Source organism: Homo sapiens, chromosome 11, assembly GCF_000001405.40.
Source record: "Homo sapiens chromosome 11, GRCh38.p14 Primary Assembly".
NCBI lineage: Eukaryota > Metazoa > Chordata > Mammalia > Primates > Hominidae > Homo > Homo sapiens.
In genome coordinates this window covers 118,211,426-118,226,156 of record NC_000011.10, presented here as the reverse complement: position 1 = coordinate 118,226,156, position 14,731 = coordinate 118,211,426, and the positions used below count along the sequence as shown (strand labels likewise).

Here is a 14,731-nt window from a genome sequence, read left to right as displayed (position 1 = left end):
CAGCTTACATAGCAAGAGCTGATTACAGGCTGAGTACCCCTAATCTGAAAATACAAAAGAGTGGTTGCTATTTCAACTCCAAAATCTGTAACTTTGAGTGCCAACATGATGCTCCAAAGAAATGCTTATTGGAGCATTTTGGATTTTCAGACTAGGGACGTTCAACTTGTATGTATTCGGCAAATATTCTAAAATCTGAAAAAAATATGAAATCTGAAACATTTCTGGTCCCAAGCATATTGGATAAGGGATACTCAACCTGTATTAAGTTTTTTAGGAATTTTGCAAGCCAGTTGTTAAACTGTTGGTAGCTTGAAATAGGTTATGATGGGAATATTTATGCTGTGGAGATTGCTGGCTCTCTAGCACATCACTTCTCAAGGACCATGCAGCGTAGTGCTTGGGAGCAAACGTTCAACAGCTTTTCAGATGATACAGGACAAGTTCCATGAGTCTGCCCATGCCTAGGTCAAGCCAATCTAGCCGAGGTTGAAGGTGCGTACATTGAGAACACCTATTTTGAAGTGGTGACTAAGACTGAGAGGTATCTTGAAGTGAAGAAACCTTGAGTTCTAATCTAGGATGTCCAAGTCACCCAAGAGGTTCTCTATGGGAATCAATGGCTGCCTGTATTCTGGAAATGCTGATATCACATGGCCAGAGGAAACTTTCATGTCTACATGGTGAGTTGGAGGACTGGGCAGGCGTATCTTTGGAAGCAGGGATTGGGTGATTGCCTGGCGAGGTTGCACCTCTGTTTTGAGAGGAAAAATAAAAGAGGTTGCTGTATCTTTAACACAGAAGGTTTTGTGTTAATATTACGTTTATTGTATTTTGTTTGCATGAAATGGATTTCTTTCTCAGCACCTATTTGCCTGGTGCCATTCAAGCTCCTACCCTCAGAGGGCTTGTCATCTAAAAGGGGAGATGGCACCTGAAGAGGTCTGAGTGTGAGGTTCACCTCAGTAGGTTGAATTTGTCACCTCTTTTTAGAATGAAAGTATACATAACAATTGGGTAATGGGCCAGATGACTGAAATGAGAACCTTGATTTAGAGGTTCCTGTTTGCATCTCTGCAACCACTTCAGAAGGCACGTGTTTGGTTTGCTCTGAGCCTAACCTAGAGTGCTCGCAGCAGTCTTTCAGTTGAGCTTGGGGACTGCAGCTGTGGGGAGATTTCAGTGCATTGCCTCCCCTGGGTGCTCTTCATCTTGGGTAAGCAGTTGCTTTGAATTTCTTAAGCCATTTTTTGAACTTTTCTCACACAGAAGTGTGCCAGTCCTGAAGGCTGGTTGAATTGGTAGTCTCTCAGGATTGTGAAGCTGCGATTGCAGAACTCTTGATCTCTGCAGGGGGATGTCATAAAGTAGTCTAATGGGTGCTGTTTCAGTTACTGTCGTGTAGAGTAACTTAGGTGAATCTCCTCAGCAAAAAGAGGAGCAAAGTTTCATCATAATAAGAGTACGTGACAATGATTATGACAAGGCTTCAGCTTTTAAGTCACCCGTGGGTTTAGGTGGAGCTGTGACTGGCTGTTCTTGAGCTCACAGCAGAGCTCTTTCTTCACTGTTTTTCTTTTTAGAAGACAGTTTTTAATTTTATTTTTAAACAAATTTTATTGTGTGTATTTAAGGTATACAACATGATGTTGTGGGATGCATGTAGATAGTAAAAAGTTTACTATGGTGAAGCAGATTAATATATCCATCATTTTACATAGTTATACCACTGTTTTTCTTCTCCCCATTATAGACAAACCAATATTTAACCTTTAGAAGCCCGAGACTTAAATCTCCCAAGAAAGCTAGGCTACTGTCCATGCTTGTTACACCCTCAGCACAGCCCTGACCTTGGGAAAGGCTGATGCAGGATGGTTTAGGTATAACCTACTCTGGAGAAGAGAGCAGGAGTAAGGACCTCCAGGGTCCCATTCGCGTAGAGCATTAACCGATGTGACCTAGACTGTGTTACAGAAGCCACGTGACCTACCAGTCTGTATTCAATGGCTTAACAATGGAAAATGAGGGCATATTTTAAGACGCATGGCTTAGAGTGGTTATATGGACTTGTAGACCTAAAAACATCTGAGAGCCTAGAAGTGCACAGCAGTGTGCAGATAGATTGAGAGGACTTGGCTCTGCAGGTGGACAACACTCTGTGAGTAAAAGAAGGCTGTGCAGTTGTCCGTTTGCTCAGTGGTTAGTTGTCCTTACTAGGGACAAACACTGAGAGACAGCAGCTCTCCCTTATTTTGTCTCATGATATTGTAATTTGGGGGGTAACTTTCACATCTTGTATGGTAGTCTCATTGTAGCATGTCTCTTTTCTGAAGATTTCTTTTCTGTAATATAAAGGGGTATGGATTTTTTGGAGGGAGGGGGTGCCACTTGTTCTCATTACCCAACAGGATATGGAGGAGAGTTGCTCAGAGAAGATTAGTATAGAGTCACTACAAGTCATTTAGGTAGCCAAAATGATAACTCCAAAATTTCTAAAAGGCAAAAATCTTTACTTGCTGATAGAGGGGAGAGTCAACTTTCCAAGCAGGTCGCAATAAAGACAGCATGATGCCAACCGAATCTATTTCCTCTCTCCTCCTTTTTCTGTTGTTTATTAAAAGGTAAACAAAAATCTCATTATTTTAAAATATTATGCAAAAATCTTGTTTATGAGAGAAAGCAAAATTTCACCTTTGCATTAGTATATTATTAATGTTAGATCCAATTCTTAATAAAACCTTATAAACAAATCTATACAATCATAGTTTGACCATAAGGTAAAACGTCCACAAACCTCTCATAATTCTTTACAATTTTCTGTTAAACAAATAAATTCTCTAGAAAACCATTATTCAGACACATGGGCCCGGATTCTGGCCCTACATCAGTGTGCTTTTATTTCAGTGTTCGACCTATGGAAAAACTAAGTAATCCCCTTTAAATCTTAGCCAACCTGCTTATACCCACAGAACTTTTCATGAGATTAACCCTTCACAAACCCTTTTCAACTTGCTTAAACCATCAGTTTTGTCACATTACTCTTTTTTTTTTTTTTTTTTTTTGAGACAGAGTCTCACTCTGTCACCTAGGCTGGCATGCAGTGGCACAATCTCGACTCTCTGCAACCTCCGCCTCCCGAGTTCAAGTGATTCTCCTGCCTCAGCCTCCCAAGTAGCTGGGATTACAGGCGCTCACCACCACACCTGATTAATTTTTGTATTTTTAGTAGAGACGGGGTTTTGCCATGTTGGCCAGGCTGGTCTGGAACTCCTAACCTCAAGTGATCTCCCCACCTCAGCCTCCCAAAGTTCTGGGATGACAGGCGTGAGCCACCATGCCCAGCTGTCCCATTACTCTTTTAGGTGAGGCCAATAGTTAAAACCCTCTGAGCTAGACAAAATTACGTTCTCTTTAACAGAAACCATATTCACACGCCTTCTTATAACCTCCCACCAAAACACATTCTTTACTTACACTGTCTTTATTTTTTATGTTATTTACACTGTCTTTATGTTTAAAAATCATTAGAGTCACGTGACCTAAAAGAGATTAAAGTTTCAATTTTTTCTGATAAAATGTTTGATTTTAGTTTCTTTAAGCCAATTAATTAGAGCTCTTTTATATAAATACTATACATACAACACATATAAATACACAGACAGACAGAAATGGAAAATCAAGACAAAATTCCATTGACTGAGAAGTTCTTAGAGGGAAAGCAGGGGCTTTTTGTTTGTTTAGATGGAGTCTCGCTCTGTCGCCAGGTTGGAATGCAGTGGTGCGATCACAACTCGCTGCAGCCTCAGCCTCCTGGGCTCAAGTGATCCTCCCACTTCAGCCTCCTGAGTAGCTAGGACTACAGGTGCCTGCCACTACATCCAGCTAATTTTTGTATTTTTTTTTTGTTCAGATGGTGTTTCACCAAGTTGCTCAGGCTGGTCTCAAACTCCTGGGCTCAAGCGATCTGTCCACCTTGGCCTCTCAAAGTGCTAGGATTATAGGCATAAGCCACTGTGCCTGGCCAGCAGGGGCTTTTAAAACAATATCTGTATACATACAGCCCAAATATCGTCTTTAATTAAGTTGATTTCTGACTATGGAGTTCTCAAAATAAAAATCCTATAAAAATCTTTTATTACCAGATTTTAGCCAGGACAAATGGCCAATATTTCTGGCTTTTGAATCTTTACCTAAAGGTAACCTCCTATGTGAAATTAATAAACCTTAAGTAAGGGGATAACTTAAACAGGGACACACAAGGTGTCTCCAAAGAGATGGTAAGCAATTTACAAGATCTAGAATTGCCCCAAAGGTAACTCAGAGAAAAGAAAATTTCAAGACAGGAAATTAGGAGCTCTCCATGGAGGGGAAAAGAATCAATAAATGATTAAACCACAAAAGACTCACTTTTGGAGCCAGGAATTGAACCCAGGGCACCACTGTGAGAGGGCAAAGCTTTAGCAGTTGAGCTACAGCAGGGGTCCCCAACCCCTGGGCAGTAGACTGGCACTGGTCCATGGCCTGTTGGGAACCGAACCGCTCAGCAGGAGGTAAGTCGGGGGCAGACAAGCAAGCATTACTGCCTGAGCTCTGCCTCCTTTCAGATCAGCGAGGGTATTAGATTCTCACGGGAGCATGAACCCTATGGTGAACTGCACATGCAAGGGATCTAGGTTTCATGCTTCTTAGGAGAATCTAATTCCTGGTGATCTGAGGTGGAACAGTTTCATCCCCAAATCATCACCCACCCTCCCTGGTCTGTGGAAAAATTGTCTTCCATGAAAAAATTGTTTTCCATGGGGAAAAATTGTCCCCGGTGCCAAAAAGATTGGGGACCAGTGAACTATAGTGCAAGATAACTGCTGTTGTTTTTTTCCGGGAGGAGTTTAGAGCATTTCAAGCTTGCAAAGGATTTTAACTGCTCAAGAGAACTTTCTAGGACTAGCCATGTAATTATTACGCATGCTTCTTTTAATTTTGCCTTTTCCTTTTAATGGTGTACTCAGTTCCAATGGTGACTGAATCTAAAAGCCTGTTAAACTCCAGATAGTGATTTTCCAGATTTTTACCATATAAGCAAAAGGTATTTCCAGAAAGGGGTAGAGGAGGCATCTCTATGACAGGGAGCTCTTGAACTCAAGGGGAAATTGATAATTTTACTTGCCACCTCCAGAGTCACCCTTGGCTTTGTTTTGCTGTGATTTGGAATTCAGCGGGGGCAGAGAGCCCACTTCATTTTAAGGCCATCAGGGGCTAGAATTCTGTCCTCAGGGTCTTTCAGCCCTCAGGACAGTCCCATTTTCAGCAGCTGAGCTTGTGGCAGAGGGTACAAGCTGTGCGGGGCTTTTTCCCATGTATCCCATTGGGGCAGTTTGCCTTCCAGTGGCCTGGCCATCTGCACTGAGGGCACTTACCTGGAGGAGTGTCCTTAGGGCAACCTGGAGGGAGCTGAGGGCTTCTAAATCAGCCAACAATTGAGCCTGCCTTTCTTCCCTGCATTTTTCTTTCTCCTTAGCCCTGGCCTCCTTATTCTGCTCTTGGTTATAAAAGATCGAGGAGGCCAAGTTGAGGATTCTTTGCATAGGGACCACGCTGTATTACACAAGAAAAGTAGATGTTTCTTTTTGAGAGTCTGAGGGTTAAATTTGTCTCAATGTTTTAGGATGCAATGCAGAGGTGAGTCTGAAGGAACAGATGGGATTTGTCCCATGGTGGGACTGGAAAATGATGAGCCAACCTCTGGGGGCTAATGTCCGCTGGGGACACAAACTGCTTTCTCTTGAGGCTTCTCGCTGAGGAAAAGCGTTCCACTCTCATCCACTGATGGACTTGGGTGCACTTTCTAAAGGGCATCCCAGCTATCAGAAAGACTTCTCTGCACTGGGGCCTTGCACCGGATAATCGGTTCAGGTATGAGGAGAGGGGAGGTGAATGGGGAGACTCACTGCTCTGAGGTTGCTTGAGCTCACCTAGTTTGGGAACATCCAGAGCAGGAGGTTTGCCTGTCTTCATGGGGAGAATTTAGAGTGAGAAAGAGGTGGGTCTGAGTTCCCCAAACCATGTGTGCCAATTGTGACACATAGAGGGACTTTTGACCAGAAAAGGTAGGAGAGGGTTTTCCTCTCTCCCGGGCAAGGCAGACAAAACTCTTCAGCCCCTGGCCTTCAGGCCACACCAGGAAGTGGCCCTGGTCAGTTGTCATAAGTCACCAGAGGGATACTAGAGTTTGTTTCAGTTGAAAACTGAAAAGGAAAGCAAACTCTGATTGGGTGGTGACTTCTCACCAGGACCTTCTGGTCCACAGGGAGCAGCCCTGGCCAGGACCTTCAGCTGTCTCCAAACTTGGATGCTGTTCACTGAGATAGTGGAGTTGGAGAGGCAAGGGACAGAGTAGGGGAGAGGTCCCCAAGCAATCCCCTTTTGGATCACCAAAATGTTGCGGGTAGTGACTAGCTAGGGCCGATGTCACCGGCAGCAAATGTATTTACCAAGACAGTCATAGGAAAGAAAGGCAGATTTATTAGAGAAGGTATGAAAACATGTTGCAAGGTTGTAATGGGCAGCACAGCAGAGAAGGCACTGTCTGCAAAGAGGCAGGGGCTGAAGGGAAGTTTTATAGGGTGGTGCTGGAGGGGGCTACCTGTGAAAGAAGTCATTGTGCCCATAGAAGTCATTGTGCCCTCAGGTTGTTTGATTAGCTATGTCTCAGAACAGTTGTTCATTGTTCTTCCTCACCTGGGTCCTCCCCAGCTGGGACCCCTCCTCATTGTTGCTTACTTAACAGGACTACACACATACTGTTCTCCATAGTGGCTGTACTAGTTTGCATTCCTACCAATAATGTATAAGAGTCCCCTTTTCTCTGCATCCTCACCAGCATTTGTTGTTTTTTTGTCTTTTTGATAATAACCACCCTAACTGGTATGAGATGATAACTCATTGTGGGTTTGATTTGCATTTCCATGATTACTGATATTGAACATTTTTTTCCATATATGTGTTGGCCATTTGTATGTCTTCTCTTGAGAAATGTCTGTTCAGACCATTTGCCCATTTTTAACCCCCCATACACTATTAGTAATAGAAAAGAAGATCCTGATAGTTATAACCCCCTAGAAGGACAGAAGGTATTTGCCAGAATTTATACTGTGAAAGAACCATGAGCTCAGGTCAAAATATTTGGCCAACAGATGAGATAACTTACTATGGAGAATTATCTCCAAACATCTGCTGAGGAGATAAATCAGTATCTGGAAAGAGAAGGAAGCAGTGTAGAAGTTGTGAATGTCAATGGTGTCTATTATCAAGGTGCTTAAGGTGCTTCTGAATGCTTTTGCTGGATTTTTTTTAAAACTGAAATTCATTTTATTCATCTACATATGCAACCAGAATTTTGTTATTCAGCTAAATATGTATATATAAAATTCAGAATTTGTGGGTGTTGGTGAATATATAGATAGGAATTTGCAAATATCTGTCAACTCACTAGGAAATTCAAACTTGAATAGTGTTCTTGGTAAATGTCCAAGGTGTTATGAACTCATTTGACAAGTAGTTACTGAGGATGTCCCCGTACCTCACACCATGCTGGCACTGGAAGTGTGGTGGCTCATGGGCATGGCTCTTGGCTTCATGGAGCTTATAGTCTTGGGGGTGGAGGTAGAGAGCAGGGTCTTAATTAAATGAGCACACAAATAAATAGATAATTAGACATAGTGGCCCATGCCCTAAAGGAAAGGTAGAGGTACTATTAAGACATGTGGCTGCCGGGCATAGCAGCTCACGCCTGTAGTCCCAGCCCTTTGGTAGGCTGAAGTGGGTGGATCACCTGAGGTGGGGAGTTTGAGACCAGCCTGGCCAACATGGTGAAACCCTGTCTCTACTAAAAGTACAAAATTAGCCAGGCATGGTGGCTCATGCCTGTAATCCCAGCTACTCAGGAGGCCGAGGCAGGAGAATCACTTGAACCCGAGAGGCGGAGGTTGCGGTGAGCTGAGATCGTGCCATTGCACTCCAGCCTGGGCAACAAGACTGAAACTCCATCTCAAAATAAAAAAAAAGACATGTGGCTTGGGGACCTGTCCTGGGATGAGTGGTTGAAGAGAGGTTTCCCGAGGAAATGATATTTAACTTGAGATGTGAGCGAGGAGCAGGTGTTAACTGGGTGAAGGCCTGAGCAAGGTGGATTGGTAGACCATTCAGTCAGGAGGAACAGATTAATCTTGTTTAGACAAATAAACTTCAGAAAAGCTTTGCTCTAAAATATTGATTACTTTCTCAAATGTGGAGGAAGAGCATAGTGTGGCAAAGACACAGGCTCGGATCCAGGATGGCTGGGTTTGAATCCTCGCTCTGCCACTTGCTCTGTGTTCTTAGGCAAGTCACATTGTCATTCTCTGCCTCATTTCCTCATCTGTAAAACCTCATGGGGTTGTTGTGAGGATTAAATGAGTTACTGTGTAAAGCACCCAGGGCCTGGCATTAACCTTCTCTGCTTTATTACACATCAACTACTGATTTCTAGTGTGCTGCTATATTAAGAAAAAGGTCTGATCTTTTAATATTGAAAACAAGGCCCGGTGATTTTCCCAAAGATCAAAGAGTTGGTTAAAGGAAGATCTGAGCCCAGAAGAGCATTTAAAAAAAACTTTTAGTAATTTTTCCGCTAAAATCATTGCTTCTGTCTTCACGGAGTTCTAGAGGTGCATCCGAGTATGTAGGACTGACAATGAGCGTTTTCCATTCATGATACTCATGTTTCTTAGCATTTGTTTGAAGATGGTTTGGATGTGGCTCTGAGTTACTCGGCTTTAGTGCCAAGATTCAGAATCTTTTTAGAGTCGCTGGCTTCCTCTTAGAATAGAGTGGAGCGGGGACTGCTGCAAGATGCCTTTAAGTTGATTTCAACTTAATGGTCACATTGTCAGCTATGAGCATTTATCCAGTATATGCCAGGCATTTTGCCGGTGCTGCCCCACGGTAACAGGACACACATCTAAATAAGGCACGTATGGTGCTGCCTTTTAGAGTCTGCAGACTTGAGTTGGTGGCAGACATATAAATTAGTCATTACTCCTCCATGCGGTTGGTGAGCTGCAGGGGGAATGTCCCACTGCTAAGTGCTGTTTTCTGGGCAGAGGAGGGAGCACAACCAACTCCCTGGGGAAGGCAACAGATGTCCCAGATGTGATGAACTTATGTTAGGACACACCATAAAGGAAGCCCCTTATGACCTTCATCCATGTATGTATGGGGCAAGGTGGGTGGCACGGAGCAGGAATGGGGTTTTGCTTATGTTGAGAGAGGTCTGTGTTTTCACTAGAGGTTCTTTTGTTTAGGGGAATCTATGTGACTCCTGATATATCTGGCTCAGTGTAATTATTATCCCCATTGTTACAACAAGGTTCAAAAATGGAAACTTAAGTTTCCTGTTCATTCTGATTCATCATTTGCCATTCTTAGAAAGGTAGAAGCTCAGAACCTGAAATCTCCCCTAAAGCTACAAACTCTGTTTCTGACTCTTATCTATATAAAGAATCTTCCATGGTAATGCTTCCTATTTTCAAAGCACTGTTATCTACGTTATACTATTAGATCCTTTCATTATCAATCCCTTTTAAAGGCAAGGAAACAGGTTCAGCAAGATCAGCTGACTTCTCTGTGTAAGTGGGACCTGAGGTAGGAACCTCCTTGAATAGCTTGACTCTGATTTTCCAGGTAGAGGATTTTGTTGATTGGAGAATACGATTAAGGAATGTCTTAAGTAATCAATTTTTTTTTTTTTTTTTGAGACAGAGTCTCGCTCTGTCGCCCAGGCTGGAGTGCAGTGGCGTGATCTCGGCTCACTGCAAGCTCCGCCTACCAGGTTCACGCCATTCTCCTGTCTCAGCCTCCCGTAGCTGGGATTACAGGCGGCCGCCACCATGCCCGGCTAATTTTTTGTATTTTTAGTAGAGATGGGGTTTCACCGTGTTAGCCAGGATGGTCTCGATCTCCTGACCTCGTTATCCGCCCGCCTTGGTCTCCCAAAGTGCTGGGATTACAGGTGTGAGCCACCAGGCCCGGCCAAGTAATCAATGTTTATTAATTAAAATGGCTACCGTATGTGCCAGATGTCCTAGCAGAGCTGGGTGGGGTACCTTGCTGTTAATGCAAAAAACATATCTTTCCTCTTAGCAGATTCTGAGGTGGAATCTCCCCAGCGGCAGGGTGGCCAGGGGTAAAGACCACGGCTGAGGCCAGGAGCAGTAGCAGGTGGGAACTCAAGACTGGTTGCACTGTAACTCCTGAGAGTCAGGGTTCTTCTGTTTAGCTAAGAAAATTTGGGGGTGTTTGGTAGAACAGTGAATCCTTTTCCAGGGGCTGGTAAATGCAATGAAATGAATACTACAGAGATAACATGCATATCAAACACATACTTTTGTCCAATGCACAGCCCAACTCTCATTCTAGCCACACTGCCCTGCCTTTAAAAAGTTAAAAAGAAAAATAAGATAAAAAGTGCACCATGGGCCAGGTGCAGTGGCCCACGCCTGTAATCCCAACACTTTGAGAGGCTGAGGTGGAGGATCACTGGAGCCCAGGAGTTTGAGACCAGCTTGGGCAACACAGTGAGACCTCTCTACTACTTAAAAAAAAAAAATAGCAAGTGTGGTGTAGCATGCCTGTAGTCTCGGCTACTCAGGAGGCTGAGACAGGAAGGTTGCTTGAGCCCTGGAGATCACGTCACTGCACCCCAGCCTGGGCAACAGAGTGAGAATCTGTTCCCTCCCCCAACCTCTTCCTCCCAAAAAAGTAGTAATTCTAATTTAGGTGGAGAGATGGGGAAAAATTTCAGGCTGGATATCCTATAATTTTTTGTTTGTGTGAAACATACAGGTAGTGGAAAATCTAGGGTTGTCATCTCAAGGGCATCCTGCAATCATTTGCTTTTTTTCTCTTGAAAAGCAACTTTCATCTAATCTTCCCTTATGGCCAATCTAAAGCAGCCCCCAAGTGACTCTTCAAACACTACTCTGTTTTGTTTCATCATAGCACTTATTGACATCTGGTATTTTCTTATTCATTCATTCATTTATTTGCTTCTTTTTTCTCCACCTCCCGCTGCATACAAACTGCAAATGAGCTGGGACCTCGTCTGTTTTTCTTGTTCAATGCTGCATACCAGTGTCTCAAACAGAGGCTGCTCCGTATAGTCCTTCACTATTGGTTTTTTAAATTAATGAGCTTCTCTTGACATGATTTTGTGATTTTTGTTCTTTTATCTTAAGATTTGAAAGTTGAGAGCAGCATGTTTTGCCCACTGAAACTCATCCTGCTGCCAGTGTTACTGGGTAAGTAGAAGCTAAGGGACTCCGTGGGGTATTTGATTTCTCCTGAGTTCTGTGCATTATTAAAAGCCAATTTTACATATTTTCGATTCCCTTGGGTTTGTTGAAGATGGAAACCCTAATGTGGAACTTCACAGTTTTGTTGAAGCAGCTGTTGTTGAAGCCAACTAGCTTATGGTTTCTTGGGAAGCTGAAGCTTCCTGTTTCCATTAGAAACAGAATGCATTTGGGTCCTAAAGGGTGTTCTGGGACCCTCTTACGTGACAAAGGGAAAGTTTCTCTGTGGCATTCCTGCACTTTAAATTGTTATCTTTAAAACCACAGTTCGCCTTGAATCAGGAACTGAAATTACCAAAGAGAGACCCAGAGCTGTTTTTCATACTGTGGCCATGTCAGCCTTCTTGTGGTTCCTCAAATGGACTGAGCTCTTTCCCAATTTATGGTGGTTTCCTTTGCCTGGAACCTTCCTCCCAGCACTTCAACCTAGCAAGCCCGCCCGATGCTTCCTTACCCTTCAGGTTTCCCCTTATGCTCCACTTCCTTCTGAGGAGCCTGACCTGGCCATCTCCTCAGACCAGATTGGTCTCCTGTTTATGCCTCCACCTAAGTGCTGAGCTTCTCGTTGCTCATCTCCACTGGTTTCTAGGTTTTCATCCTTTTCCCCCATGCCTTTTTCTTTATCCCATGGATGTAGTTCTGGAAGGAGAAGAAATTAATCAGGTGCTTTGCTCTCATAGCCTTTTCTTTTTCTCTTTATTATTATTTTTTGAACTTTGGACAGTAATTTAAACCCTGACTCAGCAAAGTATACAACAGGATTGCCTTTGCTCCTATTCCAGGCAATCCAGAGTGTGTACAAACATGCACACAGGCACGCACACCAAAATGGTGTTCATTAGATAATTTTTCTCAAAGAAGCAGGGTTATAATGATCTCAGAAGGTATTTAGACATTTTCCTAGAGGTCTGTGGAGCAGCCTGCAGGTTTTTGCCCTCCGATCCAGAGAGCTACCAGTCCAACCCCTGTATGTGGTGACTTGGTGGCACTGGGGGTTTTGTAGTTTTTTGTGGAGAGGTTTTCCTTTCTTGCAGAAAATCTCATCTTCTTCAGCTGTTTCTCTACCAAGATTGCCCTTCAAACATCAGTTTCTCTTTGCTTTGGTTGCTGTTGTTGCTTCCTAGCAGTCCTTCATTTAATTCTACACACAGTGTTCTTAATATTAAATTCGCTTATTACACTTTCAATCACACATGGAGCTGCTCAATTCTTCCTTACAGGAAAATTCCAAATATTTGTTGGAGCTAATTTTGATTTCTTTCAAAATAATTCCCTCTGAAGGGTTTAGAGTCGATGTTTTCTTTTGTGTCCTCCCTGCTGTGTGAGCCTACTGTTGGGGCAGGAAGTTAACTGTCTTCTCTCAGGGAAACAGCTTGGATGAAAAGACTGGCACATTTTCTGTTCATTCCCATCACTTGGCTCTTCTCTGATATGAACTGGGCAGCATCTAAATGTATCTTTCTTGATTTTGTTGTCTCTTTGCATAGAGCATATCTTGTGAAAACAGAAATATCCATGTAATGGTTTTTTCTTGTAGTGACCGCTCGAAATTGCTTGAGCAACATAGAGATAATGGGCAGGGGTCCCTGTGTGAAGCACCTAGAGGCTGGAAAGCTGATGGCAAAGCTGGAGGGGTGAGGCAGGGAGAGGATAAACACAGTGGAAATGCAGGAGGAAAGCTGTGCTCTGTGGTGGCCTAATTACAAGGACCTGCCCTACAGCCAGAATCAGCCAGCAAATGCTTTTGTAAAGGAACTAAAAGAAAGGGAAAAGAGGAAGTAAACAAAAGGTCCCTTTTCAGAGAGGGAACCAGTGGGAGATTTAAGAGCAAGGAACAACCCATTTCGTCGTTATGGTAAGTGGAGGTGAGTTTCTAAATTGATGATCAGAAAGGAGAGACTTCTGGGGTTTCCCTTATTTCTTTAGAAAGGTTGGGAGGAAGAATTCCAGAAAAGTGTAAGGGGCTGGATAGGAGGAGGGAGCCAGATAGCATTTATTGTAGTATGAAGATTGCAGAATCCTTCTGATGAGCCATATAGGTAACTAGAGGACAGGGATGCCATGCTGCCTTTGAACATGCCTCCGAGGACTTTGTCTATGTTGGATCATCCAGGGAGAGGGGTGTTTAGTACTCCATGATTGGAATTGATTTTTGTTGTTGAGAGTATTTGTCTAAATGATGTGTCCTCTTGCCTTTGACTTCTATAGATTATTCCTTGGGCCTGAATGACTTGAATGTTTCCCCGCCTGAGCTAACAGTCCATGTGGGTGATTCAGCTCTGATGGGATGTGTTTTCCAGAGCACAGAAGACAAATGTATATTCAAGATAGACTGGACTCTGTCACCAGGAGAGCACGCCAAGGTAACGCGGGGGAAACATCACTATGTAATAGAAGCCCCTGACTGCTGGTGTCAGGACAGAGTGGTGTAAGAGTCAGGCATCAGGTGCCACCAGGAGGTGTTGCAAGAGCCGGGGCTTTGGAGATTATCAGAACTGGGCCTCGTCCTAGCTCAGGAATTTGGTTATGTTATCAGCTGGGTAAGTAAGTTACTCAACCTTGCTGATCTTAGCTTCCTGAGCTGTGAAGAGGAAGGCAATTACAATAATGGTAATGCTTACCTTTCAAGTAGTTAAGGGGCTGATGGGAGACACAAACTTGAAATGAGAGGTTCCTTGTTCTTGCACATGAAATTCTTTGAGTTTCCTTCCTTTATCTCTACCCTTTGTTAAGTAGCAGAAGCAGGTGAGAGGGGTAAATTCCGAGGTTCTAGAAAGGAGAGCTCTGACCTAGGCATAAGAACTATACCACAATGATCTTTTTTGGGGTGGGGAGGAGGACAGATTCTTTCAGTGTTTCACTGCTCCATGTATGTGCTGGGGAATCATCATTTTCTCCTTTGTGGCTGCTTAAAGTGTTGGGATTAGCAGATGCAGCATGGTGGGCGAGGTTCTTTCATGGAGCTCTTTGGAGTGAGGAACAGTGTATTAAGCCTCATCAGACAGTCTGTATAGATACTCGTATATCAGGATCATTTGTGAAAAACATCCCAAGTAGTTTGTTACTAACAATAAAGTCCTAATGTTTGCAAACAAAATATTGTTTTTGTAGCTCAGAGCACATTCCCTGTTGTCCCTATAATGCTACTCTCATTCAAATTTTTATTGGCCTTTATTTTTATACGAGGGATAAACCCATAGTGTAAGTAGAAATAAGAATTTCTGCTGGGTGTGGTAACTCATGCCTGTAATCCCAGCACTTTGGGAGGCTGAGGCGGGGTGATCACTTGAGCTCAAGAGTTTGAGACCAGCATGGGCAACATGGCAAAACCCCATCTCTATAAA

The 14,731-nt window shown here is 43.4% G+C and overlaps 1 protein-coding gene across 5 annotated transcripts in view, besides 1 other annotated feature; it reads left to right on the top strand.

The window, feature by feature from the left end:
- The first annotated feature begins 1,145 nt into the window (after positions 1 to 1,145).
- JAML (junction adhesion molecule like) overlaps positions 1,146 to 14,731 on the top strand; it is a 31,287-nt gene continuing 17,701 nt past the window's right edge. For 2 of the 5 annotated variants that reach the window (NR_104479.2, NM_001286571.2), the window contains exons 1-2: positions 13,211 to 13,242; positions 13,596 to 13,750. Coding sequence is in view for 4 of the 5 variants with exons in the window: in NM_001286571.2 (NP_001273500.1) it covers positions 13,670 to 13,750 (81 nt within the window). In the remaining variant the exon portion in view is untranslated. Of the gene's footprint in view, positions 1,217 to 11,270; positions 11,334 to 13,210; positions 13,253 to 13,595; positions 13,751 to 14,731 lie in introns of those variants that run through there. The other 3 variants (NM_001098526.2, NM_001286570.2, NM_153206.3) reach the window with 3 other exon arrangements.
- Positions 13,589 to 13,883: a silencer, noted in NCBI's record as "tiled region #10108; K562 Repressive non-DNase unmatched - State 20:ReprD". NCBI's record gives its function as "represses a minimal TATA promoter and a strong SV40 promoter by Sharpr-MPRA in K562 cells {active_cell/tissue: K562}" and the evidence as "EXISTENCE:reporter gene assay evidence [ECO:0000049][PMID:27701403]".